General features: G+C 49.7%; 1 protein-coding gene and 1 long non-coding RNA gene across 8 annotated transcripts in view, besides 2 other annotated features; one reads left to right on the plus strand and one right to left on the minus strand.

Annotated features, from left to right (window-relative positions):
• Positions 1 to 26,318, minus strand: part of LOC105375567 (uncharacterized) — a 58,167-nt gene that overhangs the window by 17,760 nt on the left and 14,089 nt on the right. For both annotated transcript variants that reach the window (XR_928171.3, XR_928169.3), the window contains exon 2: positions 4,667 to 4,722. This is a non-coding gene — a long non-coding RNA (uncharacterized LOC105375567). The remainder of the gene's footprint in view (positions 1 to 4,666; positions 4,723 to 26,318) is intronic.
• Positions 15,376 to 15,947: an enhancer, noted in NCBI's record as "H3K4me1 hESC enhancer chr7:150549187-150549758 (GRCh37/hg19 assembly coordinates)". NCBI's record gives its function as "activates a minimal SCP1, AML or CMV promoter by ChIP-STARR-seq in primed H9 embryonic stem cells {active_cell/tissue: H9 hESC(primed)}" and the evidence as "EXISTENCE:reporter gene assay evidence [ECO:0000049][PMID:30033119]".
• Positions 15,397 to 24,781, plus strand: AOC1 (amine oxidase copper containing 1). 6 transcript variants are annotated; one of them, XM_017011945.2, is made up of 5 exons: positions 15,397 to 15,467; positions 19,732 to 21,317; positions 22,040 to 22,325; positions 23,721 to 23,910; positions 24,220 to 24,781. In XM_017011945.2, the coding sequence occupies exons 2-5, from the start codon at positions 19,748 to 19,750 to the stop codon at positions 24,484 to 24,486; spliced, it is 2,313 nt and encodes a 770-aa protein (XP_016867434.1). In that variant the 5' UTR covers positions 15,397 to 15,467; positions 19,732 to 19,747; the 3' UTR covers positions 24,487 to 24,781. The 6 variants fall into 6 exon arrangements, with proteins under 6 accessions (XP_016867434.1, XP_047276084.1, NP_001259001.1 ...); XM_047420128.1 differs by having other exon boundaries at positions 23,778 to 23,910; NM_001272072.2 differs by lacking the exon at positions 15,397 to 15,467 and adding an exon at positions 15,794 to 15,835.
• Positions 20,112 to 20,955: an enhancer, noted in NCBI's record as "H3K4me1 hESC enhancer chr7:150553923-150554766 (GRCh37/hg19 assembly coordinates)". NCBI's record gives its function as "activates a minimal SCP1, AML or CMV promoter by ChIP-STARR-seq in primed H9 embryonic stem cells {active_cell/tissue: H9 hESC(primed)}" and the evidence as "EXISTENCE:reporter gene assay evidence [ECO:0000049][PMID:30033119]".

Raw genomic sequence — 26,318 nt, forward strand, 5'->3', positions numbered from 1 at the left:
TCTTCCTTCTCAAATTGGGCATAAGGCTCACTGTTCTTAGGTAGCTCGAACCCTCATTGGCTTTGTATCCTGAGGGTGCTGGAAAATCACTTACTAAGGAGATGGAGCAAGGGCTTAGTCAAGACACCTATGCTGTAGAAAACAGGGTTCTTCTCCAGAGACTCTGGGTGCAGCTGGCCCAGGACTTGGTGCAGACAAAGAACAATTACAGGGATGTAATTGTTCAGGATGTTTCAGAGATGGGTTTCTCGTTTGAAAAACGCCTTTCTCAGAGGATTGTTGGGAAGGTGGAATGAGATAATGCTCATAAAGCATTTAAAACGGGGTCTGTATCTGGAGCAGTGCAGTGTATGTTGGCATGGTGGTCACAGTCACTCCTCTGTATGAGCTCCATAAGTACAATCAGATACACTATCTCAGTTTTCCTCTCTGTGGTTTTGAGCCTGCTCAGAGTGGGCCTGGGGTGCCCTTCATCAAATAAACTTCTCCAGGGCTTGAGGGCTCATCAAACCCATCACATGCTGGGGCCACTGGGTAGAAAGTGGGGTCTAAGCTTTAAGAAGAGACTTCCAGTGCATAGAATTGGCATTTATACAGGACAGGTTCCAATGGCTTCAAATCAGAGATAGCACAACTATTGGGGTGCAAAACATTTTTAAGCCCCACAAAAAGCTAATTTATCATACTGGAGCCCTCACTTCTAGAATAAGTTATAATGCCATTGAGATGGTAAAAGATATACTCAGGGTCTAATAGTTGTTTGAAGATTTTTAAAGTTATGTAAAAATATTTGCATGGGCCAGGTGCGGTGGCTCACGCCTGTAATCCTGACACTTTGGGAGGCTGAGGTGAGAGGATCACTTGAGGCCAGGAGTTCGAGACCAGCATGGCCAACATGGTGAAACCCCATCTCTACTAAAAATACAAAAATCGGCTGGGTGTGGTGGTGCATGCCTGTAATCCCAGTTACTCAAGAGGCTGAGGCAGGAGAATAGTTTGAACCCGGGAGGCAGAGGTTGCAGTGAGCTGAGATGGCGCCACTGTACTCCAGCCTGGGTAACAGACTCCATCGCAAAAAAAAAAAAAAAAAAAATTTACACGAACACACACGTAAGCATGGCATGCTCCCTGACACAGTGAGTCTTTTTTCTCAAACACACATCCTAGCATAGACACAAAAGCCCTTTTCCAGGAGCAGATTTAGAAGGGCTGCCTATGGCAGTGAAGGGTGCAGAGAAAGTTGAGGGCTCGGGACATAATTCATTAGCAGAGAAAAGTTCTCATTTGCCCCCACAACTGTTTGAAAGAAATGCCCCTTGTAGGTCTTGATGCTACCTACACAGGGATGCCATGCCCTTCGTGAGATTGCTGCAGGTTTGGGGGCCAGAAAAACCCAAGTTCAAATCCTGGCTGTGCCATTTACTAGCTGTGCAACTTTTGTGTCGTAGGAACGATGCCTACTGTGCAGAGTCATCTCTAGGATTGAACAAGTCCCCAGCACAGGAGTGCCAGGGCCATCAGTGGATGGCAGGCGTGATCATTGTTCTTCATTCCTTAGCCAAACCCAGAATTTCTCAAGTTAATGTGAAAGGGACCCTCCTAACTGCAGAGAATAACTGACCATGGCCTCCATGTGTCCCCCTGAGTGTCACCTGCCTGCAAGGCCTGCCTTCCATTAACATGGACACAGGGCACAGCTTCATTTCTCCTTAGCACAGTTCACACAGACTGAAACTTGTAAAGCCAAACTTTACCAAATCCTAGTGGGGCACAAATCAAATGGAGAGCAAGGCTGGAACCTGGCTTGCAGCTCTCAAAGCTTCATCTCATGATGTTCTCCAAGCCCAGCCCCTCCCAGCCCTAAGACCCCAATTCTGGGGCTGGCTACTGACCTAACTACTTGCCTGGGCCTCATCCATCCCTCTACTCTGGTAGATAATGTATGCTAATACCACGGGTTTTTTTTCCTTGCTATTTATAAAATCCTACCACCTTTAATGAAAAAATAAGTCCCTAAGCTGGAGAAAGAGCCCCTGGGGTACAATTCTAGTGGTAAGAAGCTGCCAGGCTCTCCTGATTTTTCATGTTACTGGTTGCAGCCTGAAGGTGCATTTTCAAATAGCCTGAAGGCTTCCTCTGGTGCTCACATAGGTGCAAATGTCAACCAGCCCTTTCAATTTTGTTTCTTCAGTCCTCAACCTCCCTCCAGACCCAGGTGCGGTGTCACTGCAAAGGGGCATTTGGTTTTAAAGAAATTACCCCCTGTCTAGCACTCCTTCCTTCTGCCAATGGGGAGCTGTAGAAGAGGAAGGGGACTAAAAGAGAAAATCATAACAGGAAGGAATTGGAGCCAGCAAGGGCTAAGCTCAGAACCAGCATCCAAGACTTTGGCCTCAGTTACCTGTTACATTTTTGCTGCTGCCACCAGTCTGCCTGGGGCCTCTCTTCCTGATGCCTGCTGATACCTGGCCTAGCAGCTCTCATCCTATCAACCTATTCATCTAACTTCATTCCCTGCAAGGGCTAGTTCACTGCCCACTGCCCTGTCCTCCCTCCCCAACCTTCTCAACCCAAGCCAGTACCAGCTACATAAATTGCAAAGCCCAGTATAAAGTGAAAATGTGGGGCCCCTTGTTCAAAAGTTAAGAATCTAAAGACAGCAGCGGAGCGTTAAGCCAAGTAGAGAGCCCTTCTGAGTGTGAGACGTGGGAGACTGCACAGCCGCATGGCCAGGAGCCGGTGCTGACTCAGACCACTCCCAGTTGTCCTTGGCCTTGGCCTAAGGAGCCTGCGATGTTGTATAAAGACTCTTCCCTTGAGTTGAGAGTTAATAGCATCCTTTGAAACCAGGTTACCTAGCATGTTTTTTTCTTAAAATGCCACAGGGAAATTAAAAGTTTTCTGACGTCTAGGTACCTAACACCTCTTCCATCTTCCTTGTCCATGTCATCTGTTTATTAATTCACTCCAAAACCCAAAAATGAGCAGCCACTGTATCCCATGCGCTGTGTTGGTCTCTGTGGTTCTGAATAAATTAAGACAGAATCCCTGACCTCAAGGAAGCCGTATAAGAGACAGACTTGTGAACAAATAGTTATAAAGCCATATGACACATGCAATGAGGGAGATGGGCAAGTGCCCTGGAACCAGAGAGGACAAGCCAGCTATGTGGAAGATGTAAAGAGGGTGGGGACAGCAGGGGTAGGGGGTAGTTGGTGCTGAGCCTTGAAGCAAGAGCTTGCTCCCAAAATAAGAAGACAGAAAGGCTTGCAGAAAGGGAACAAAGCCGGCAAAGGCCAGGTGGCCCCAGTGAACCTGGCATGATTTGAAATAGCTCAAGCACAGGGTGAGGCAGCATTAGTGTACCAAGAACAAAAGGAAGATTGGGGCTAGGCTGTAAAAGGTTTTTAATGCCAAATTAAATAGTTTATATTTTATCCAATAGGCAACTGGAACCCACCAGAGGGAGGAAGGGGACATGGTCAGATCTATCTTCCAGCAAAAGCATGAAGGGCAGATTGGAGGTGCTCAGGAGGAGAGTCAGGGCGTCTGGAGGCAATTGCAGTTTTCAGGCCAAATCACAAGGGCTTAAATGTAGACCAGAAGTTCTCAGCAGGGCAGCAGTTTTGCCTCCCAGGAAATGACTGGTAATGTCTGAAGACATTTTTGGTTGTCCTGATAGGGCGGTGGCTGCTTTTGGCCTCTAGTGGGTTGAGGCCAGAGATGCTGCTAGACGTCCTACTACACACAGGACAGGCCCGTGAGCATGATCAGGCTCAAACTATCAATGGTGCCAAGGTTAAAAATCCTTGATGTAGACAATGATAGCAAAGACCGTGAGGCTGGAAAGAAATCCAGAGCTATTTAGGAATTAGAACAGGAAGAACTTCAAAACCAGTTAGATACTGACAAGGAGCCAATTGCTATATCTTGAAGGAAATTGTGCAGTCTTTGTTTGTTGTTGTTGTGGTGGTGGTGGTGGTGGTGGTTGTTGTTTTGAGACAGGGTCTCGCTCTGTTGCCCAGGCTGGAGTGCAGTGGCGCAATCACAGCTCACTTCGGCTTCGACTTCCTAGGTTCATTATGCTTTTGGGTTAATTTCTTACCAGTGGTATCTGTGATAAATTACAGATTGACAGGGCCACCTCATCAGTAAAGGTGGCTGGAAGATACCACCTTGGTGAGTGAGCAGGTCCAAGCCCCGGGCTGGTTACAAAGCCAGCTGGTTCTGGAAGTTTTGATTCCTGAGATGGCCAACAACTTACTCACATGCAGAGGGAAAATAACACTTAGAAAGAAAAATAAGAGTTTTGAAAAGAGAGGGGGGTGAATGAAAAGCCTTTAGGGAAACTGGCTTGTTACTAAGACAGATGTGAACTAAACAAGACAGACGTGAACTAAACAAGACAGACGTGAACTAAACAAGACAGACATGAACTAAATCAACTCTCTGATCTTATGGAGCAGGGGAAGGGGAAAAGTCAAGGAGCCCTCACACACACTCACCACATCTCAGGGCCCCTGGAGTCCTCTGTATTACCCGCATTCATACCTCCCCAACTGTAACCATCATCATCATCATAGCTAACCATGATCATCATCATCATAGCTAACATTTATTGAGTGATTTCTATGTGTCAAAAACATTAGTTAGGTGCTTTACATACCTTTTACCTCATCTGATGCCAACAATTTTGTCACACCTTCATATCCATTATTGTGCCTGTTTCACAAATGAGAAAACTGAGTGAGGTTTAAAAAATTAACTTTTTTTTTTTTTTTTTTTTTGAGACAGAGTCTTGCTCTGTCGCCCAGGCTGGAGTGCAGTGGCGCAATCTCTGCTCACTGCAAGCTCTGCCTCCCGGGTTCATGCCATTCTCCTGCCTCAGCCTCCCAAGTAGGTGGGACTACAGGCGCCCGCCACCACACTTGGCTAATTTTTTTTTGTATTTTTAGTAGAGACGGGGTTTCACCGTGTTAGCCAGGATGGTCTCGATCTCATGACCTCGTGATCTGCCTGCCTCGGCCTCCCAAAGTGCTGGGATTACAGGCGTGAGCCACGGCACCCGGCCAAAAAATTAACTTCTTTACCCTAGGGGCAGGGCAAGATGGCAGAATAAAGGACTCCACCAAACATCCCCACCCCTACACAAGAACACCAAGTTTGACAACTATCTACTCAAAAGGAGCACTTTCATAGGAACCAAAAATCAGGTGAGCACTCACAGTGCCTGGTTTTGACTTCAAATTCCTGAGAGAGGCACTGAGGAGGGTGAGAAGGACAGTCTTGAGTTGCTGATGCCACCCTTCCCCCATCCCCTGGCAGTGGCTACATGGCACAGAGAATCTGTATATACACTTGAGAGAGGGAGAATGCCATGACTGTGAGGCTTTGCATTGAACTCAGTGCTGCTATGTCACAGCGGAAAGCAAAACTGAGCTATACTCAGCTGACACCACGGAGGGAACATGTGGACCAGCCCTGGCCAGAGGGTACTCACCCAGCCCAGCAGTCAGAGCATGAGTTCCAGCAAGCCTCACCCCCATTGGCTGCAGTGCTTTGGGACCCTAAGTGAACTTGAGGAGCAGTCTACGCAACAAGGACTGCAATTCCTAGGCAAGACCTAGTGCTGAGCTGGGCTTGGAGTTAGTGAACTGGTGGGGCACATGAGACACCAACTGTGGTGTCTAAGGAAGTGTTTGCACCACTCCTTCCCCAACCCCAGGCAGCACAGCACACAGCTCCAAAAGAGACCCCTTCCTTCTGCTTGAGGAGAGGGAAGAGTAAAGAGGATTTTGTCTCGCATTTTGGATACCAGCTCAGCCACAGTATGTTAGGGCACTGATAAAGGCTGTGAGGCCCCCATTCCAGGCCCTAGCTCCCAGACAACATTTCTGGACACACCATGGGCCAAGGGAGCCCATTGTCTTGAAGGATGAGTTCCTATGCCTGGCAACATTCACCACAAGCTGACTGAAGTTCCTTTGGTCCTTAACTGAGCATCAGTGGTAGCCTGGCAGTACTCCCCACGGGCCTGGTGAGGCTCCTCTGCCTGTGAGAATGGGATGTAAGAATGAGAAGGACTGCATCCTGTGGTTTGAGTTCCAGCTCAGCTGCAGTAGAATAGAACAACAGGTAGACTTCTAAGATTTTAGATTCCCATCCATGGCTCCAGATGGCATCCCTGGACCCACTCAGGACCTAGGGGACCTCACCAACCTGAAGGGAAGGATGTAAGCCTGGCTGGCGTCACCACCTTTGCTGATTGTAGAGCCCTAGGGCCTTGAGCAAATAGGCAGTAGCCAGGTAGTGGTTACAGCAGGCCTTGGGCAAGACCCAGTGTTGTGCTGATACTCCATATCCGACCCAGCACAGTCCCAGTGGCGGTGGCCACAGGGGTGCTTGTGTTACTCTACCCCTGGCTCCAGACAGCTCAACACAGAGAGAGAGACTCCATTTGTTTGGGAGAAAGTAAGGGAAGAAAAAAGAGTCTCTGCTTGGTAATCCGGAGAATTCTTCTGGACCTTATCAAAGACCACCAACGTGATACCTCTACAAGTGTGCAAGAACCACGGTGCTACTGGGCTAGGGGTGCCCACTAAAGCAGATACAGCTTAGATCATAGCACCCAAGTCCTTTTGAATACCTGGAAACTGTTCCCAAGGAGGACAGGCTCAAACAAACTCAGACTGCAAACATGGCAATAAATACCTAACTTTTTAATGCTCGAACACTGACGAACATCCACAAGCATCAAAGCCATCCAGGAAAACAAGACCTCATCAAATGAACTAAATAAGGCACCAGGGACCAACCTGGAGAAACAGAGATATCTGACCTTTCAGACAGAGAATTCAAAATAGCTGTTTTGAAGATACTCAAAGAAATTCAAGATAACACAGAGAAGGAATTCAGAATCCTGTCAGAAAATTTAACAGAGATTGAAATAATTGAAAAGAATCAAACAGAAATTCTGGAGTTGAAAATTTCAATTGACATACTGAAGAATGCGTCAGAGTCTCTTAATAGCAGAACTGCTCAAGCAGAAGAAAGAATTAGTGAGAATAGACAGGCTATTTGAAATTATATCGCCAGAAGAGACAAAAAAAATTTTTTTTTAATGAAGCACACCTACAGGATCTAGAAAATAGCCTCAAAAGGGCAGATCTAAGAGTTGTTGGCCTTAAAGAGGAGGTTGAGAAAGAGATGGGGTAGACAGTTTATTCAAAGGGATAGTAACAGAGAACTTCCCAAAACTAGAGAAAAGTATCAAGATCTGAGTACAAGAAGGTTATAGAACACCAAGCAGATTGAACCCAAAGAAGACCACTTCAAGGCACTTAATAATCACACTCCCAAAGGGCAAGGATTTTTTTTAAAAATGATCCTAAAAGCAGCAAGAGAAAAAAAAAAAAAAAACAAGTAACATACAATGGAGGTCCAATACATTTGGCAGCAGACTTTTTAGTGGAAATCTTACAAGCCAGGAGATAGTGGCATGACATATTTAAGGTGCTGAAGGAAAAAACTTTTACTCTAGAATTATATATCTGGTGAAAATATCCTTCAAACATGAAGGAGAAATACTTTCCCAGACAAACAAAAGCTGAGGAATTTCATCAACACCAGACCTGTCCTACAAAAAAATGCTAAAGGGAGTACTTCAATCAGAAAGAAAAGGATGTTAATGAGCAATAAGAAATTATCTAAAGATACAAAACTCACGGGTATTAGTAAGTACACAGAAAAACACAGAATACAACACTGTAACTGTGGTGTGTAAACTACTTTTAAGTAGAAAGACCAAAATATGAACCAATCAAAAATCATAACAACTTTTCAAAACATAGACAGTACGGTAAGATATAAATGGAAACATCAAGAGTTAAAAAGTGGGGGAAGGCCTCACATGGTGGCTTCTGCCTATAATCCCACAGGGCACCCCTGTAATCCAAGCACTTTGGGAGGCCAGAGGTAGGCAGATTGCTTGAGCTCAGGAATTCAAGACCAGCCTGGATGACATGGCGAAACCCCATCTCTACAAAATATACAAAAATTAACTGGCATGGTGGCTCACATCTGTGGTCCCGGCTACTTTGGGGGCTGAAGTGGGAGGATCGCTTGAGCCCCAGAGGCGGAGGTGGCAGTGAGCTGAGATCACGCCATGCACCTCACTTCAGCCTAGATACAGAGTGAGATGCTGTCTCAAACAAAAAAAAAAAAGAACAAAAAGTAGGGGAACAAAGATAAAGAGAAAGTCTTTATTAGTGTTCTTTTTGCTTTTTAGTTTGCTTGTTTATGCAAGTAGTGTTAAGTTGTTATCAACTTAATAGATTGTAAGAGTATTTGCAAGCCCTGTGGTAATCTCAAATCAAAAAACATACAACAGATGCACAAAAATTAAAAAGCAAGAAATCAAATCATACCACCAGAGAAAATCACCGTCTCTAAAAGGAAAAGTTAACCGCTTTTCCCACATAACATCCAACTAAAAGAAGTAGAACCTGGATTCAAACTCAGGCCTTCTGGCTCTATATCCTGTACCAGTAACCATGCTGCTATATTTCCTTCCAAAATTGTGCTCAGCAAAGGGCTGCACAGAGGCAGTGACTGTTCTGGTGATTTCTGAAGTCCTACATGCTACCTCCAATATGCACCTGGAATGTCATAGTCACCAAAATGGTTTAACACAAATACATCCCTGCACCACACAAGGTCACATGTCTACCAACACAAATTCTTTATTTCAAAGATCAGCAACATATTTTAACTTCTGCTTCCTGATTTTCTGGCCTCTTGATTTTTTTCTTCTTTAAGAATCCAATGCACATTTCGTGAGGTAGCTACTAAAGAGAGCCAGGAGGAAGGAAGAATTCTGCTGTGTCTACTGCCCAGCCCCGGCTGCCAGACACAGCTGCAGCTGGAGGGAGGAATGTGGGATTTGACGGGGAAGCTGTCAGCTGGCCAGCACTGCCAGGCATGGTCAGTGAAGATACAAAGAGCGCCTGGAGGACCCAGCCCTGGTCTCTGACTCCTCACAAAGGTCTCCTTGGGGCTCCCTCCACCCTTGCCCCTCATGTGCCTTGGGATCCAGCATCAAAGTCCAGAAGTGGGCTCAGCCAGCAGCCAGCCATGCTCACACACTGAAGCATCCTGACTCAGCTCCTGGCTGCCCCAGCAGAGCAGAACCTCTGCCCGAACTTGGGGTCACCTGGCTCTTCTCTCTGGAGTCTCATATCCCAGCCCTCAGCAAATCTCCCCCAGCCTCCCTTCCAGCTACATCCAGAATGTGGCCACTTCTCATCACTTCCACCCCTGCAACCCTGACCTGGCAACCAGCCTTGCCCCCCAAGACTATTGCAACCACCCCCCGGCCTGCTCTCTGCTCCTGCCATCATTGCAGCCTTCACTCTTTTGCATTCTGTCTCCCCCAGCACCTCCAGATAGCACTTGCTAGAGGCAGGTCAGTTTTGGCCTCTGCACGAACCTGACAGAGGCTTCCCAAGTGGCTCAGAGTAAAATCCCAGTGACAGCCTTGGAGGCGAGGGCGTTTGGTCACTCTCTGAATCCACCTGCCACCACTTGCCCCTGGCGACAGCAGTCCCCTCACTCTGCATCAGGGACTTTGCATTCCTTGCTCCTTCAGCCTGAAATGCCCCCGCCACCAGGCATCCTTGTGGCCCACTCCTTCACCACATTGAGGAGAAGAGGAGTCCCCTTTCTGAAAGGTCAGGCCCTGCCCCCACCACATGCCCCTGCTCTGTTTTCCCCTGAGCATGTGCCCCACTGGAACACACTGGGTCACCACTTGCCGCCAACGCCTGCAGGACACCTCTCTGAACACCCGTGACACCTCATGGCACCTCTGCTGTCAGAGCTTCACTAGGACTCACCAGACTAAGCAGACAGTTATACCCACGGCCAACACACAGCAAGGACACAGCGGGGTCTGGAGGGGTCAGGGCACAGACTCGCTGAGCTCTCCCTCCCATGAAGGCTGCACAGAGCATACCCTGCGCCCTGCATCTCCCCAGGGAAGTAGAAGCTCAGAGCTGGGGCAGAGGTTGGGGCTGGTCACGTAGGCACACTCTCTGCCCACCACAACTAACAAGATTCCAGATTCCCAATAGGAAAGCAGGTGTTCACTAATCACATTGTCTGTAAAAACAGTCAGCAGGCCGGCACAGCGGGGCAGGATCCTGAAAGTTAAGTTCCCAGATGCCAGCCCAGGGCCAGCCCCTGTCATCAGCTGTCCCAGTGAGGAGGTCTGCTGTGAAGGCTCACAAGCTTCGCTGTTGGATAGTCTTCACTAAAATATGAGCCCCATAGAGGCTTTGGTTTTGTTTGTTCGTTGCTGTGTCTCCCTGGTGCAGAATGAGTGCTCCATAAACATTTGTTGAATGAATTAAGGACTGTCAAGTATAAGCCCACCAGCCAGTGGCAGAAGCAGGGCTAGCACCTGGAGATGAACGTTCTCCCCTCTCTGGGTGGGGCTGCCCAAGCCATCAGGACCTCACCAGGGCCCCTTATGACCAATGGCCCTGCCTCAGAAAATGGTGGAATTTTCTTTTTTACAAACCCACCTTCCCTAATCAGGGACAAAAGCTATGATGTTGGCTTCATTCACATAAAGATCTAATCGAATGAGCTTCCCTGGTGTACCCCCAGTAGGTCCTGGTGCAGGCGCGGGTTGCTCTGTTTCTTCTCTGTGGTTTCGTGGAAACAATCCCACTCTCTAGATCCTCTCAAATTAGCTCTGACAGGTTGTGACTTTCTGAAAGCAAAATATCAAGATTTAGCCACAGGACATGGTGAGCTGTGACCTCTGGCTTCCTAGCTCCACCTTTGTATATAGCGCTGCCCCTCCTTAGGCCTGGACCTCCTTAAGAAAGGCAAGCAGCGAACAACTGACAGGATACGGTCTTTGCCCAAGTGCTATCTCTAACTGTCAGCAATCATTAATTCCACAAGCGAGGAACCACACCTCAGAAACCAAGGTCACCTTCAGTATGGAGGGGCCAGCCCCAGCCAGGGAGCAGGAAGAGAGGTGGCAAGGCAACAGACCCCAAATTTCAAGTGTGACATCTCAAGTTCCCCAGCCACAGTGCACACAAACATGAGCAGAAACAATGGCCTTGGCCAGACATGGTCACTCATGCCTGTAATCCCGGCACTCTGGGAGGCCAAGGCAGGAGGATCACTTGAGGCCAGGAGTTCAAGACCAGCGTGGGCAACACAGCATGACCCCGTCTCTACAAATATATATATGTATATAACAACAGACTTACCAGCTTTTCTGCACAAGGATTCTGTTCGCCTCAGCTTTCCCAGTGCCTCTCTAGAGGGCTTCTCTATCTCCTCTGTCTCTATAGGATTCCCACAAGCCCCTCTTCACCCCCACACTTCTCTAGAAGCGCATAGGGAGGTTCCTCACTCTACCTCCTCCTTCCAGACACACCACCTGCCCTTCCTCAGCACAGCGACACAAACCGCACCCCACTCCCCGCATCAGCCCTGACCTTTTCCCATGTTGGGAAACACACCACATCTCAGTTCAGGACTCTGCTCCTACCCCCACTCACACTCCCACTCCCACCCCCGCCCCTGCCCAGTGTGTCCTCTTCCTCCTAAGTCCCTCGTGTATCGCAAAACCCCACACAGGCTCTACCTTGTGGATCCTCGGGGCAGCAGCCCCCCAGGGCACAGGGCTTGGAATTCACTCACTGGCCAAGGACCATGCTCTCTGCAATGAGGCAGGTAAAGAAGGTGTGCTGGGTTGCATAGCATCCCCCTAAAAATTCATGTCCTCCCTGGAACCTCAGAATATGGTCTTATTTGGAAATAGGGTCGTTGCAGATGAATTAGTTAGGATGATGTCATACTGGAGTAGGGTAGGCCCTCAATACAATCACTGGTGTTCTTGAAAATAGAGGTACTGAGACAAGGAGGACGCCATGTGAGGACAGAGATTGGAGTGACATGGCCACAAGCCAAGGCACTGAGGGACACCAAGGATTGCTGGCAACACAGAAGCTGGAAGAGGAGAGGAAGGACCCTCTTCTTGAGCCTCCAAAGGGAGCATGGCCCTGCCTACACCTTGATTTCACACTTTAGGCCTCCAGAACTGTGAGACAACCCATTTCTGTTACTTTAAGCCCCTGTGTGTGGTCCTCTGTGACAGCAGCCATGGAGGCTACTGCAGAGGGGATAGAGTCCCAGGACTTGGGGGCTTGCAGTCTTGAGGGGAATCTCCTTCCAAGCCCTTGCAGGACAGGCCCTTGGGCATCAATGTGTTGCACTTACTCTGTGCCACCTTGTAATATTAATCCTTCTATGTACATGTTATGGGCCCCGTTACATAAAAAATGCAATTCTTTCTGGTGTGCTTCAGCTCCCTGCCTACACGCAGTGTTCCTCCCTGCCCTCACTGCATCCTCCAGGTGCGGGACCTGTGGTGGTTCCTGTCCTCAGCCACATCTACCCTGGTGTGAGGACCTGTAGTCACTCAGTCTGTCTCCCAGGCCTTTCTTTTATTTATTTATGGACGTCCATTGCAGAACTGAATTAATTCTACCTCAGTGCATGGATGTCGTCATCACTGGCCCATACAAGTCCTCTCTCTTGTCTTTCTCACGTGTGTATGTATGTATTCCCACTCCCACCCCCGCCCTCACATCCATTCTAATGTGTATCCACTCTTGAAAGCGGGTGGCTTGGTGTGTACGTGTTTCCTGTTGTGTAATGGCATCGTGCTATCACTCATCCTGCGTCTTCCATGATCCTGAGATCCCTTCTCAGGAGTGGCTGTGTGGACATCCATGCCTTTGCACCCGCCAACTGCACAACACCCCATGGTGTGCAGTGACCACTCTCCTGGGGGTGGCACCCCGATGGCCTCCAGCTCCCCAGCCTCACAGCCACTTGTGTCTGCATCCCACCTCTAGGCCTGGGTGAGAACCTCTTTGACATATATTCCAAGAGACAGAGTTCCTGAGTCTGGAGAGCATGCAATTCTCTCATTTGCCCACACCCTGCAAAGTGCCCTCCAGAATGGCTGTGCCATCAATAACCCCTTCCCACAACCACACATAAGGTCCCCGTTTCCCCACATCTCTGTCAACACTTGGCATCATCCAGCTTTCCCATGAAAAATTATATCTCGTTGTTGAATGCTTTGCATTTTTCTAGTAACCACTACATTTGAGCATCTTTCCATGTGCTCTTTAGCCCTTTGGGGTGCCTCTTCTGCAAGTTACCCTTGGGATTCTTTACCAGGTTTCCATGGGGACTGCTGCCTCTTTCTGACCGATTTGCAAGAGCTCCTTGTGTATTCTAGATATTAGTCCTGTCACTTTTTGAAAACAGCTTTATTGAGACACACCTTACAATTCACCCATTTAAAGTGTATAATTCAATGCATTTTAGTACATTCACAGGTACATGCAGCCATCACCTTCAATTTTAGAACTTTTTAATCACCTCAAAAAGAAACCCCATAAGCATTAGCTCTCACCCCATCCCTCCATCGCACCCCAGCCCTAAGCAACCACTAATGTGCTTCTCATCTGCTTGAGAGATTTACCTACCCCACACGTTTCATATAAATGGAATAATGTGGTCTTTTGTGACTGGCTTCTTTCATTTGCCGTAGTGGTTTTAAGGTTCATCCACATTGTGTCATGTAACAGTGATTCCTTCCTTTTTATGACTGAATGATGTTCCATTGAGTGGATAGACCACATTTTGTTGACTCATTTATCAATGCAGAGACATATGAGTCGTCTCCACTGTTTGGCTATTGTGAATAACACTGCAGTAAACACTCTGGTACAGGTTTCCCCATGGACATAGGCTTTCCTTTCTCTTGAGCATATACCCAGGAGTGGGATTGCTGGGTTATATGATAACAACGTTAAGTCATTTGAGGAACAGCCAGACAGTTTTCCGAAGTGGCTGCGTCATCTCACCATGAACTGCCTGTGAGGCTTCCAGTTTCTCTGCCTCCTGGCCCCACCTGTTATTACCTTGCTTTTGAATTCTAGCCATCCTAGTGGATATAAAGTGGTATCTCCTGGTGGTTTTGATTTGCATCCCCTGATGACTAATGACATTGAACAGCTTTCCATGTGCATATTGGCCATTTGTGTATCTTCGTGAGGGGAATATCTATTCAGATCTTTGGCTCATTTTTAATTGGATTATTTGCCTCTTATTATGGAATTGGAAGAGTTCTTCTTACATTCTAGATATAATTTTCTTATCAGATATATAATCTGTGAATATTTTCTCCCATTCTATGCTTTGTCTTTTCATTTTCCTGTGGGTGTCCTTTGAAGCATAAAAGTCTTTTAATACTGATGATGTCAATTTATCTATTTTTTTTTCTTTGGTTATTTGTGCTTTGAGGTCACATCCAAGAATTAGATGTAAAGTCAAGCAGATTTACTCCTATGTTTTCTTTTTAAGAGTTTTACAGTTTTAGCTCTTACATGTATGTCTTTGGTCCCTTTCGAGTCCGTTTCCGTGTGTGAAAGGGTCTAACTCCATCATGTGCATGTGGCCCCTTTCCCTTTAAATCTTTGCAAGTCTCTTTTCTCGATCCATCCTCACTCCATTAACTTTGTCGCAGTTTCCTTTGTGGAATGGAAACAGATTGTAGTCCTCAAAATCAGGTTGTTCCTGAAACTCTCTTCTAATCCAAATCCCCCCAATTCTCTGCGGAGTTGGTGAGCCCATAACTGAGAATACATAACTCACAGTCCTCTTGAACACTGAGGGTGAAAGACGTTAGCATTCATTGTCTTTGTATCAATCATCATTTTAACATGGAAGGCAAATCCCCTTCCTCAGAAACACCAAAGACCTTCTGGAATTGCAAGCAAGCTTCAAGTTGACTAAGTGTGTTCACCTTCCTTCATCTAGCTGCCAGTGCACACTGAAATGGCTTGCATTGCGGGCAGCAGGAAGGATGATGATGAGAAATACAAAACCCCTATAACCACAAAGCGGTGTGCAATCCCTGAGCAACCAAACCTTGGTAATGGGGGATGATGACCCCTTGGCACTCCTGAGCCACGAACTTTTCCTGACTCTATTCTTTCCTTTCCAACTAGGAGTTACCCCGGTCACCACGTTCGCCCTTCTCAACCTGACTAAGTGGGCGTTAGCACTGTCCGCCCACTGCATGGGCACTACCTGCCCCAGTGTCCTCTCCCCTCTCCGCTCTGTGCCATAGCCTTAGCTACCCTGGCCAGCTTTCTCCCAGCCAAGTCCTTCCTCCTTTCTGAATCTGGTCAGGGTCTCAAAGATCGTTAAAAAGCCGCCAAAGTTTGCAACTCGTCTTGAGTGGCTGCTCCTCCCAAACGGTTCTGCCTCTGGTGTCTTGTTCTAGGAGCGGTTGAATTCTCTGTTTTGCTGTGGGTGCCAGCCTCTATCAGCCCCTGCCCTGGTCCATCTGTCAGCTTCAGGTAAGACTACCGGCTAGGAAATGGCCCCTTGTCCTTATCTCTGCCTCTAAAATATGCCACCTAAATTAACAGATCGTGGCATTGCATGGCTCGTCACAGAGAAGCCAAGGCAAATTCTTGTGGAAGGCGGCACTTGTCTGGAAACAGACTCAGGACAAGTGTGCTGCACAGCCAGCTTCCTCAAACCCACTCTCGCCACTGTAGCTGCCCACAGAGGCACCTCCCAAGCCATAGGCCCCTCCTAGGCCAGCTCAGGCCTCACCTTGTCCCTCCCTGCAGGGCGGGGTCTGATTGACTTCAAGAAGGAGTCAGAGATCAGCTTAAGGGCAAAGGCTGGAAGCAGAGCGAACTGGGAGCAGAGCACACAGGTGCGTTCTGATGGGTATTCGGGAGAGTCAAGAAGGGGCTGACCTGGAGGACAGAAAAGCAGTGGAAGGAGGGCACAGAGTGAGGGGCAGAAGAAACAGGACACAGAGGGAGGAGGGCCAGGAAGTGAGGGCGGGAGCCCAGCACATCACAGAAGGTGCCCGGGTGCTTGGTGGCAGGCAACAGCCGGCCAGGGTGGAGTGGGGAAAGCTCAGAGAGGAGGGTGAGCAGGGAGAGGGCTTGCTTCCTGTTCCTGCCTGGAGGTCTCACCAGCCACCACCCCCACTGCCACTGCACATGGGGACAGAGGTTTGTCCTGGGGAAAGCAAAGGTCTCTTCCACATCTTTCTCCTTCCTGGAAAAGCAAAAAGAAACGTGGGTATAAGAGGTTGTAAAAAAGGAGACCCAGCCGTGAAAGGACATGGAGGTACCCTAAATGCACACTGCCAAGCAAAAGAAGCCAATCTGAAAAGGCTGCAGACTGTAAGATTCCAAATACAGGACGTTCTGGAAAAGGCAAAACTATGGAGACAATAAAAAGAGCAGTGATTGCTAGGGTTTCGGAGGAAGAGGTGGAGCACAGAAGATTTTGGGGGAGGTGGAACTATTCTGTGTGATATTCTAATGGTGGATCCATGTCATTGTCCGTTTGTCCAACCCATAGAATATGCAGCAGCAAGAGTGAGTCCTGATGTAAACTGTGGGCTCTGGGTGAGAGTGATGTGCAGGTTCATCAGCCACAAATGTATGGCTCTGGTGTGGATATTGATAGTGGGGAGGCTGCGTGTGTAGGGGCTGTGAGTATACAGAAACTCTCAGTACCTTTCGCTCAATTTTGCTATGAACCTAAAATTCCTCTTTAAAAGACTCCTATTTAAAAGACTTTAATAGACTTTATAAAGTTTGTTAAAAGACTTTTAATAGACTTTTTAAAGACTTTTAACAGACTTTATAAAGTCTATTAAGAAATCTATTAAAGTCTATTTTTAAAAGTCTATTAAAAAAAAAGTCTACTATAATCCCAGCACTTTGGGAGGCCAACGCAGGAGGATCACTTGAGCCCAGGAGTTCAAGACCAGCCTGGGCAACATAGTGAGATCCTGACTATATATATATATATATATATATATATATATATATATTTATTTATTTATTTATTTAAGTCTAATAAGAAGTCTATTTGGGGCCAGGCCTGGTGGCTCATGCCTGTAATCCCAGCACTTTGGGAGGCTGAGGCAGGTGGACCACTTGAGGTCAGGAATTCAAGACCAGCCTGACCAACACGGTGAAACACCATCTCTACTAAAAACAAAAAATTAGCCGGGCATGGTGGTGCACACCTGTAATCCCAACTATTCCAGAGGCTGAGGCAGGAGAATTGCTTGAACCTGGGAGGCAGAGGTAGCAGTGAGCCAAGATCGCATCACTGCACTCCAGCCTGGGCTACAGAGCAAGACTGTCTCAGGAAAAAGAAAAAATAGTCTATTTAAAGAAGAAAAAAAAGAGGCCTGGCCAATATTTAATAGGAGAACACAAGAACTCACCTCATATCCTTCCTGCTGGCTCTGGGTTCCGCCTGCAGCCCCTGCCTCACCTGCTCCCTCCAGGTAAGCAGGGCCTCCGAGAGCCCAAGATCATGTGGGTTCCAGGGTCTTCTGCCAGCACCAGAGGGCAAGACAAGGCAACTAGAGGGACATCCCCATGAGAGGCCATGACCATGGAGCAAAACGAGGGCAAGGGGAGAGCCCTCGGGGAGAGGGGCATGGGAAAGGGAGAGAAGGACATCTCAGATCAGCCTTTACCGTGGCCTCCAGGGCTAGAGAGCCCTCGGGTGATGGAACAGGCCCAGCCAACACCTTTCATTTGTCTATGAATCAAGAACTGCCCATCGTGTACAAATTAAATACAAAGTGCTAAGGGGACTAGTGGAGAAGTATGTTAGTTGGGGCCAAAAACAGCATTCCTCGGCAGTGCGGGGTTTCAGCTGACCTCAAAAGGTGGCAAAGGATGTGACACTGGCCCAGAGTCGGGTGGGAAGGGACAATGTGCAGCTGAGCTTCTCTGGAGGAAAAAAGCCACGGGAAAACAGGGCCTCTAGTTAACACATGGGTTGTGTTCCCAACGCTTGTGCTTCGGAAATGTGATGTGTAAATGCATTTTCCAAAAACAAAAGCAAGAAATGAAAAGCGCTCATGATGGTCAGGTTTCCTCAGTGGGTCACTCCACGATACACCCAAAGTGGAGCTGCTGCACCTCAGTTACACCTCACACCCTGTGCCGCCGACTTTCCAGGTGAAATCCTCGGGGCCTCCCTTGCAGGCAGCCTGGGCCCCCTGGGAAGAGGCTGGGCCAGGCAGAGGTCTGAGACAGGAGTGGATTAACCCTCTCTGCTACCTGTCTGTCTGCACAGGAGAACGAGTTTTCTCCAGGTTTACCCCCAGGGCTTCTGATTTAGGGAGCAAAAGGCAACTACCTATGAAAATATGAAAACAAGGATCTCTCAGAGTCCAACCCACTCATGCATCCACCTTATAAATCAAGTGTCTGTGCCTCAGGCACTGCTTGCAGGAAGTGAAAAGCACAGCTGAGACAGGGAGGAATCCTGAAGCGGGGCTCCCAGCTCAACCCAGAGCCTTGAGGAAGGGGGTGCAAGGTGGCAAAGGCAGTGCTTCTGTAGGGAAATTTCACGGTGACGGCAGCCTTCCAGGGAGGCCCACATCACCTAGGAGGACAAGTTAGGGTCTGGAGAAACTAAGGCTGGGAGACAGCTCCAGCCAGCATCTGTAGCAACAGCGCAACAGGCAAGAGTAACAGTCTCCCAGAGACTCCGCACACAGCACATGGGAAGACAGAGCTGTGGCCACCACGTCTCCCAGCCCTGCAGGAGGCTCACAGCTACAAGCACAGGATTTTACAGCTGCTTGGGGAATGGGGTTATGAGGTGAAGACCCTGACCCACCCTCCCTGAGAAAGGAAAAGGCATCTTCCTAAGATGAAACCCTCCCTGAGGTCCCCTCCTAGTAGCCTTGGGTGGACAAGAGAGGTGAATGGGGCACAAAGAAGGCTAGGCAGGACTGGGCACCTCTACCTCACCCCCAAAGCCATCAGTCTGCAGCCTAGTCACACCTGAATCACTCTACATTGCGTAAAACTTTAAATGGGCTGGTGTCGATAGCCTGTATTTAACAAGAAGAGCAGCTAACATTTCTCATGTATTTCCCATATGGCAGACATTGTTACAAACACTTTATATTTACTGTTTAATTGATTTCTCTCCACAACCCTAGGAGCTAAGCACTGTTGTCATTATTTTCATTTTAAAACTAAGAACATGAAGGCCCAGAGAGTTTAAGCAGCGTGCCCAAGGCCACACAGCAAGTCCTAGTGGCATGAGTCACTGGGACTTGACTCAGACAGCCTGACTCTAGAGCCTACCTTTGAATTTCTACACTAAATTTCAAAATCTGTCTACCTAAAAGGTATTTCGTTGTGTCAGAAATGTAGTTTTGCTGTTAATACAGGTGTCTTCTTCTCCAGGACACAAGAAGCACCTGGGGGCATGTGCAGGGGCCCAGCCTGGCCTCTGTGACTCACGGCACCCCTGGCTGAGATAATACACAAAAACAAGGGTGTTCCCCTGAGTAAGGAAGGCTGCAGGACTGAAGGACATTTACAGAGGAGTGAGGAGAGGGCAGAAATAAATGGATGGATGCACAGGCAGCGGCCCGACGGCGCTGGGGACTATGCATGGGGCCCCAGCTGCCCCAGGACAGCCTCCAGCTTGGGGCAGGGCAAGGGGAGGAAGCTCAGTCCATGGGAAAATTCCATGGCCCTAACCTGAGGGAAGCCCATCTCTGCCCATAAGACAACTAAGTTCATCTCCTCTATTGCATTCCAGAGCCGTGGAGCGAGAGATGCCGGCCCTGGGCTGGGCCGTGGCTGCCATCCTGATGCTGCAGACGGCCATGGCGGAGCCCTCCCCGGGGACTCTGCCCAGGAAGGCAGGGGTGTTTTCAGACCTAAGCAACCAAGAGCTGAAGGCAGTGCACAGCTTCCTCTGGTCCAAGAAGGAGCTGAGGCTGCAGCCCTCCAGTACCACCACCATGGCCAAGAACACCGTGTTTCTCATCGAGATGCTGCTGCCCAAGAAGTACCATGTGCTGAGGTTTCTGGATAAAGGTGAAAGGCATCCTGTGCGGGAAGCCCGTGCCGTCATCTTCTTTGGTGACCAGGAGCATCCCAATGTCACCGAGTTTGCTGTGGGGCCCCTGCCAGGGCCCTGCTACATGCGAGCACTGTCCCCCAGGCCTGGGTACCAGTCCTCCTGGGCATCGAGGCCCATCTCCACAGCAGAGTATGCCCTCCTCTACCACACCCTGCAGGAAGCCACCAAGCCCCTGCATCAGTTCTTCCTCAATACCACAGGCTTCTCATTCCAAGACTGCCATGACAGATGCCTGGCCTTCACCGATGTGGCCCCCCGGGGTGTGGCTTCTGGCCAGCGCCGCAGTTGGCTTATCATACAGCGCTATGTAGAAGGCTACTTTCTGCACCCCACTGGGCTGGAGCTCCTCGTGGATCATGGGAGCACAGATGCTGGGCACTGGGCCGTGGAGCAGGTGTGGTACAACGGGAAGTTCTATGGGAGCCCAGAGGAACTGGCTCGGAAGTATGCAGATGGAGAGGTGGACGTGGTGGTCCTGGAGGACCCGCTGCCTGGGGGCAAGGGGCATGACAGCACAGAGGAGCCGCCCCTCTTCTCCTCCCACAAGCCCCGCGGGGACTTCCCCAGCCCCATCCATGTGAGCGGCCCCCGCTTGGTCCAGCCCCACGGCCCTCGCTTCAGGCTGGAGGGCAACGCTGTGCTCTACGGCGGCTGGAGCTTTGCCTTCCGGCTGCGCTCCTCCTCCGGGCTGCAGGTCCTGAACGTGCACTTCGGCGGAGAGCGCATTGCCTATGAGGTCAGCGTGCAAGAGGCAGTGGCGCTGTATGGAGGACACACACCTGCAGGCATGCAGACCAAGTACCTCGATGTCGGCTGGGGCCTGGGCAGCGTCACTCATGAGTTAGCCCCCGGCATCGACTGCCCGGAGACCGCCACCTTCCTGGACACTTTCCACTACTATGATGCCGATGACCCGGTCCATTATCCCCGAGCCCTCTGCCTCTTTGAAATGCCCACAGGGGTGCCCCTTCGGCGGCACTTTAATTCCAACTTTAAAGGTGGCTTCAACTTCTATGCGGGGCTGAAGGGCCAGGTGCTGGTGCTGCGGACAACTTCAACTGTCTACAATTATGATTACATTTGGGACTTTATCTTCTACCCCAACGGGGTGATGGAGGCCAAGATGCATGCCACTGGCTACGTCCACGCCACCTTCTACACCCCCGAGGGGCTGCGCCACGGCACTCGCCTGCACACCCACCTGATTGGCAACATACACACTCACTTGGTGCACTACCGCGTAGACCTGGATGTGGCAGGTAGGACTCAAAGCGAGACTCTCCCGTTCAAACATCTGCATCCAGCCAATAACTTAAACTCCCAGGAGACGGCACTATAACTCCCTGGTGGTGGAAAGTTAGGAGCATTTGCCAAGCCTGCTTCTGTAAAACCTAAAGCTAGAAATTTGTGTGTCCCTGAAAAATGGTGAAAGCGAACAGTGCCGAGGGTTGCCCTGGATGCAACAGTGTGGACCCTGTCCTGACCCTGGGGCTGTGCATGGGGCAAGGGAGGGGACGGTGCCTATGAGGGTAAGAAATGTCACTGTCTAGCGCTTTGAGATGGAGTGTAGTATTGTCTGGGAATATTCAGGGTGTCTCCTGGATGATATCACCATAAAAGAATGGCATGGGTAGAATAACTAATGCTGCCAGACCCAACAAGGCCACCAGGACCACACGGGCGGCTCCTACCCCTCAGCCCCAGTCACCTCTCTGGACAGAGCCTCCCATGCCTGGAGAAAAATGGGTGCCCCTGCTCTAGGATTGCAGCCACAGCAGATGGGCATGAGCACAGCTCTTGAGAGGAACTTCCCAGAGTGGTAATGGAATCACCACAGCCGCCCAGGGCATCCCCCAACATCCCGGTTATTCAAGACAGTTGGCTGTTGGATGTGGTGGAGGATGGAGATCCTGGGGTAGAATGAGGAGGTTTCAGTTCTGGCAGCTTGATTCTCGTTCTCCTTCTCCCTGCATACCTCCAGGCACCAAGAACAGCTTCCAGACACTGCAGATGAAGCTAGAAAACATCACCAACCCCTGGAGCCCAAGACACCGCGTGGTCCAGCCAACTCTGGAGCAGACGCAGTACTCCTGGGAGCGCCAGGCGGCCTTCCGCTTCAAAAGGAAGCTGCCTAAGTACCTGCTCTTTACCAGCCCCCAGGAGAACCCCTGGGGCCACAAGCGCACGTACCGCCTGCAGATCCACTCCATGGCCGACCAGGTGCTGCCCCCAGGCTGGCAGGAGGAGCAGGCCATCACCTGGGCAAGGTGAGGAAGACCCAGGGGGCCTGGGGGAGGGTCAGTGGCTTCCCTCAGTGTGTGTGTCTGTGTCTGTCTGTGTTTGTGTCTATGGGGTTCCTAGTCTATGTGGATATACACATATACGTATGTGTATATCTGTGTGTACAATTGACCCTGAACAATATGGGGGGTAGGGGTGCCAACCCCCCAAAGCAGTAAAGAAGCCAAGTGTAACTATGACTCCCCCACAACGTAACTACGAATAGCCTACTGTTAACCGGAAGCCTTACCACTAACAGAAACATTCCGTGAACACATATTTTGTAGGTTCTGTGTGTCAGATACTGTGTTCTTACAATAAAGTAAGCTAGAGAAAAGAAAATGTTATTAATAAAATCCTGGCCGGGCACGGTGGCTCACGCCTGTAATCCCAGCACTTTGGGAAGCTGAGGCAGACAGATCACGAGGTCAGGAGATCAAGACCATCCTGGCTAACACGGTGAAACCTCATCTCTACTAAAAACACAAAAAATTAGCTGGGCATGGTGGCAGGCACCTGTAGTCCCAGCTACTTGGGAGGCTGAGGCAGGAGAATGGCGTGAACCCGGGAGGCGGAGCTTGCAGTGAGCCGAGATCACACCACTGCACTCCAGTCTGGGCAACAGAGCAAGACTAGTTCTCAAAAAAAAAAAAAAAAAAATCCTAAGGAAAAGAAAATATATCTACAATCCATTAAGTGGGAGTGGCTCATCCCAAAGGTCTTTATCCTCGTCTCCTTCACTTTAAGTGGGCTGAGGAAGAGGAGGAGGAGGGGCTGGTCTTGCTGTCTCACGGTGGCAGAGGCGGAAGAAACTCCAAATGAAAGTGGACTTGTGTGCTGGGCGCAGGAGCTCACGCCTGTAATCCCAGCACTTTGGGAGGCCAAGGTGGGCAGATCACCTGAGGTCAGGAGTTCGAGACCAGCCTGGCCAACACAGCGAAACCCTGTCTCTACTAAAGATACAAAAGTTAGCCGGGTGTGGTCGTGGGCGCCTGTAATCCCAGCTACTCGGGAGGCTGAGGCAGGAGAATCACTTGAACCTGGGAGGCAGAGGTTGCAGTGAGCCAAGATCGCATCACTGCACTCCAGCCTGGGTGACAGAGCAAAACTCCATCAAAAAAAAAGAAAAAGAAAAGAAAAGAAGGAAGGAAAGAGAGAGAAAGAGGACCCATGCAGCTCACACCTGTGTTGTGCAAGGGTTGCCTGCTGTTCTGGGCCTGTGTCTCTGTGCATTTGGGGAGGGGGGCGGGGAGGACTCCTGTGGGTCACCTGAACCCGGTTAACAGCAGCCCGTCCTGCTGACTCCCAGGACAGATGATCTGTCATCTTGGGGAAGGCAATCATCTTCCTCTATTCTGACCCTGAGGCTGTTCCCTGGGCAGGACTGAGGGGGGCCAGCCCAGGGCCCTGAGCCAAGCTGCTTCGCCTGTGCCTGGCAGGTACCCCCTGGCAGTGACCAAGTACCGGGAGTCGGAGCTGTGCAGCAGCAGCATCTACCACCAGAACGACCCCTGGCACCCGCCCGTGGTCTTTGAGCAGTTTCTTCACAACAACGAGAACATTGAAAATGAGGTACTGCCCTGTCCCCAGCCCTGCCCGGTGCTGGCCCTGCCTCCTTCCAGCTCAGCCCAGGACCATCCTCATCACCATCAGGGAGTCCCAACCACCCTTTGCCCAGATCTGTCCCCAGTCGCAGGAGCTGTGCCTTGCTGTGTGGACGGCAAGTTCAGAGGTCACAACAGAGCTGCTCATCTCTTTAAAAAGGGGCTGGAGAGGAATTCAGCAAGTTTCCAGGCAGAACTGAAAATGACCAAAGGCTAGAGTGGCCTCCAGTGGTCAGTACTCAGCCCTGCCCACTGAAGCCCACCCTGTCTCCTGCAGGACCTGGTGGCCTGGGTGACGGTGGGCTTCCTGCACATCCCCCACTCAGAGGACATTCCCAACACAGCCACACCTGGGAACTCCGTGGGCTTCCTGCTCCGGCCATTCAACTTCTTCCCAGAGGACCCCTCCCTGGCATCCAGAGACACTGTGATCGTGTGGCCTCGGGACAACGGCCCCAACTACGTCCAGCGCTGGATCCCTGAGGACAGGGACTGCTCGATGCCTCCCCCTTTTAGCTACAATGGGACCTATAGACCTGTGTGACCAGCCCCCAGTTCCTCCCCCAGTTCCTCCCAGGAAGCCCAGGAGCCTCACTGGGGCAGACAATAAACCCTCAGAGCCTCGCTCTGTGTGCTGCTTCTTGCGGGGAGGCACAGGGCCATGTGTGTAGGAAACACACGAACAGACGTGCACACACACAGACGTGCACACACACACAGACATGCACACACACACAGACGTGCACACACACAGACGTGCACGCACTCACACGGACATGCACACACATGGCATGTACTTTATTCACACTGGTCTACTGCAGTCCAGAAAAGCCACCATTACTAACAAAAAGGAAGCTCGCTGAAATCCTGCACCTATCAGATTGTTTTTTTAAAATCTGAGACTGGCCAGGCACGGTGGCTCACGCTGGTAATCCCAGCACTTTGGGAGGCTGAGACGGGAGGATGGGAGGATCACTTGAGTCCAGGAGTTCAAGACCAGCCTGAGCAACACGCTAAACCCCATCTCTCCTAAAAAATACAAAAAAAATTAGCCAGGCAGGGCAGCATACGCCTGTAGTCCTGGGGCAGAGGGGGTTAGATAGGAAGATCTCTTGAGCTGAGAAGCCGAGATCACGCCACTGCACTCCAGCCTGGGCAACACAGACACAGTGAGACCCTGTCTCAAAAAAAAAAAAAAAAAAATCTGAGAGTGACAACTTTCTCTTGGGGAGGCTGCAAGGGAATTTCCCAGTGTCAGTGACAGGCTTGCAAAATGGCACAACCATAGAGAAGATGCTACAGGGAGATCTAGCAGGATCACCATGCCTTTATCCATTGGCACACTGGCCCAACCTCAGGGGGTTTATCCCCAAGATCCACCTGTAAACACAGGAACGACATATGTACAAAGTGATTCATTGCAGCATTGTTTGTAACAGCGAAAGTCTGGAAACAACCAAATTCTCATCTGTAGAAAACCCCAATTGAATGAACTGTGGCACAACCTCACAGTGCAATTCTAGCTGATTGTAAGAGAAACACACGAATGAGGATACTCTGTGTGCTGATAGGGCAAAACTTCAGGCCATAGCAAGTAAGAAAAGAGAAGAGGCATAGAATAATACAGACAGCATGCTAACTTTGCATGAGAAAGGACAGGAGTTTCCCTAGACTGGTCTCCATGTAGACGACAGGGAAGCATGGTGGATGAGAACAGGGATAGGAGCAGGCTTTCTTCATGGAAACCTTTCTATTGAGTTGTTAGGGGTTTTGTTGTTTTGTTTGCTTGCTTTTGGGGACAGAAGGGGAATGATGGAGAGGGCCGGGCCACGGGCTGGCCAGGTAGGGAGATAGAGGCTGGGGAGAAAGCAGAGTGGCCTGGCCAGACGCTATGGGGATGGGGATGGGGCAAGGAGGGTCTCCTCCCTCCCTCTGGAGCTGAGGGAGCCCCAAGTGTCCCGGCCATGGCACATGGCCCAGGAAAGCACTAACTGCAGAAACCCAGGTGCCACAGCCTCTCGCCCCAGTGCTATGTTATTTTTATTTTTGAATCGTGAGAATGTATTACCTATTCAAAAAACTGAAATCTAAATTTTACAAGAGGGAGGAAGGGAGGAAATGAGGGAGGGAAAGAGAGAAAGAAAAATGAAACTCTAATTGCTGATGTGTGGTACTATAGTAGCTGGCCAGGATGGATGGGGTAGATAGAATAATGCCCTCCACCCCCCACTAATGATGTCCACATCCTGATCCCTGGGACCTGTGGATCTGTTACCTTACATGCACTAGGAAGGAATTCTGTGGGCATGATTAAGGTAAGGATCTTGAGATGGGAAATTATCCTGGATCATCCAGGTGGGCTTGAGTAATCACAAG

Source organism: Homo sapiens, chromosome 7 (assembly GCF_000001405.40).
Source record: "Homo sapiens chromosome 7, GRCh38.p14 Primary Assembly".
Taxonomy (NCBI): Eukaryota; Metazoa; Chordata; class Mammalia; order Primates; family Hominidae; genus Homo; species Homo sapiens.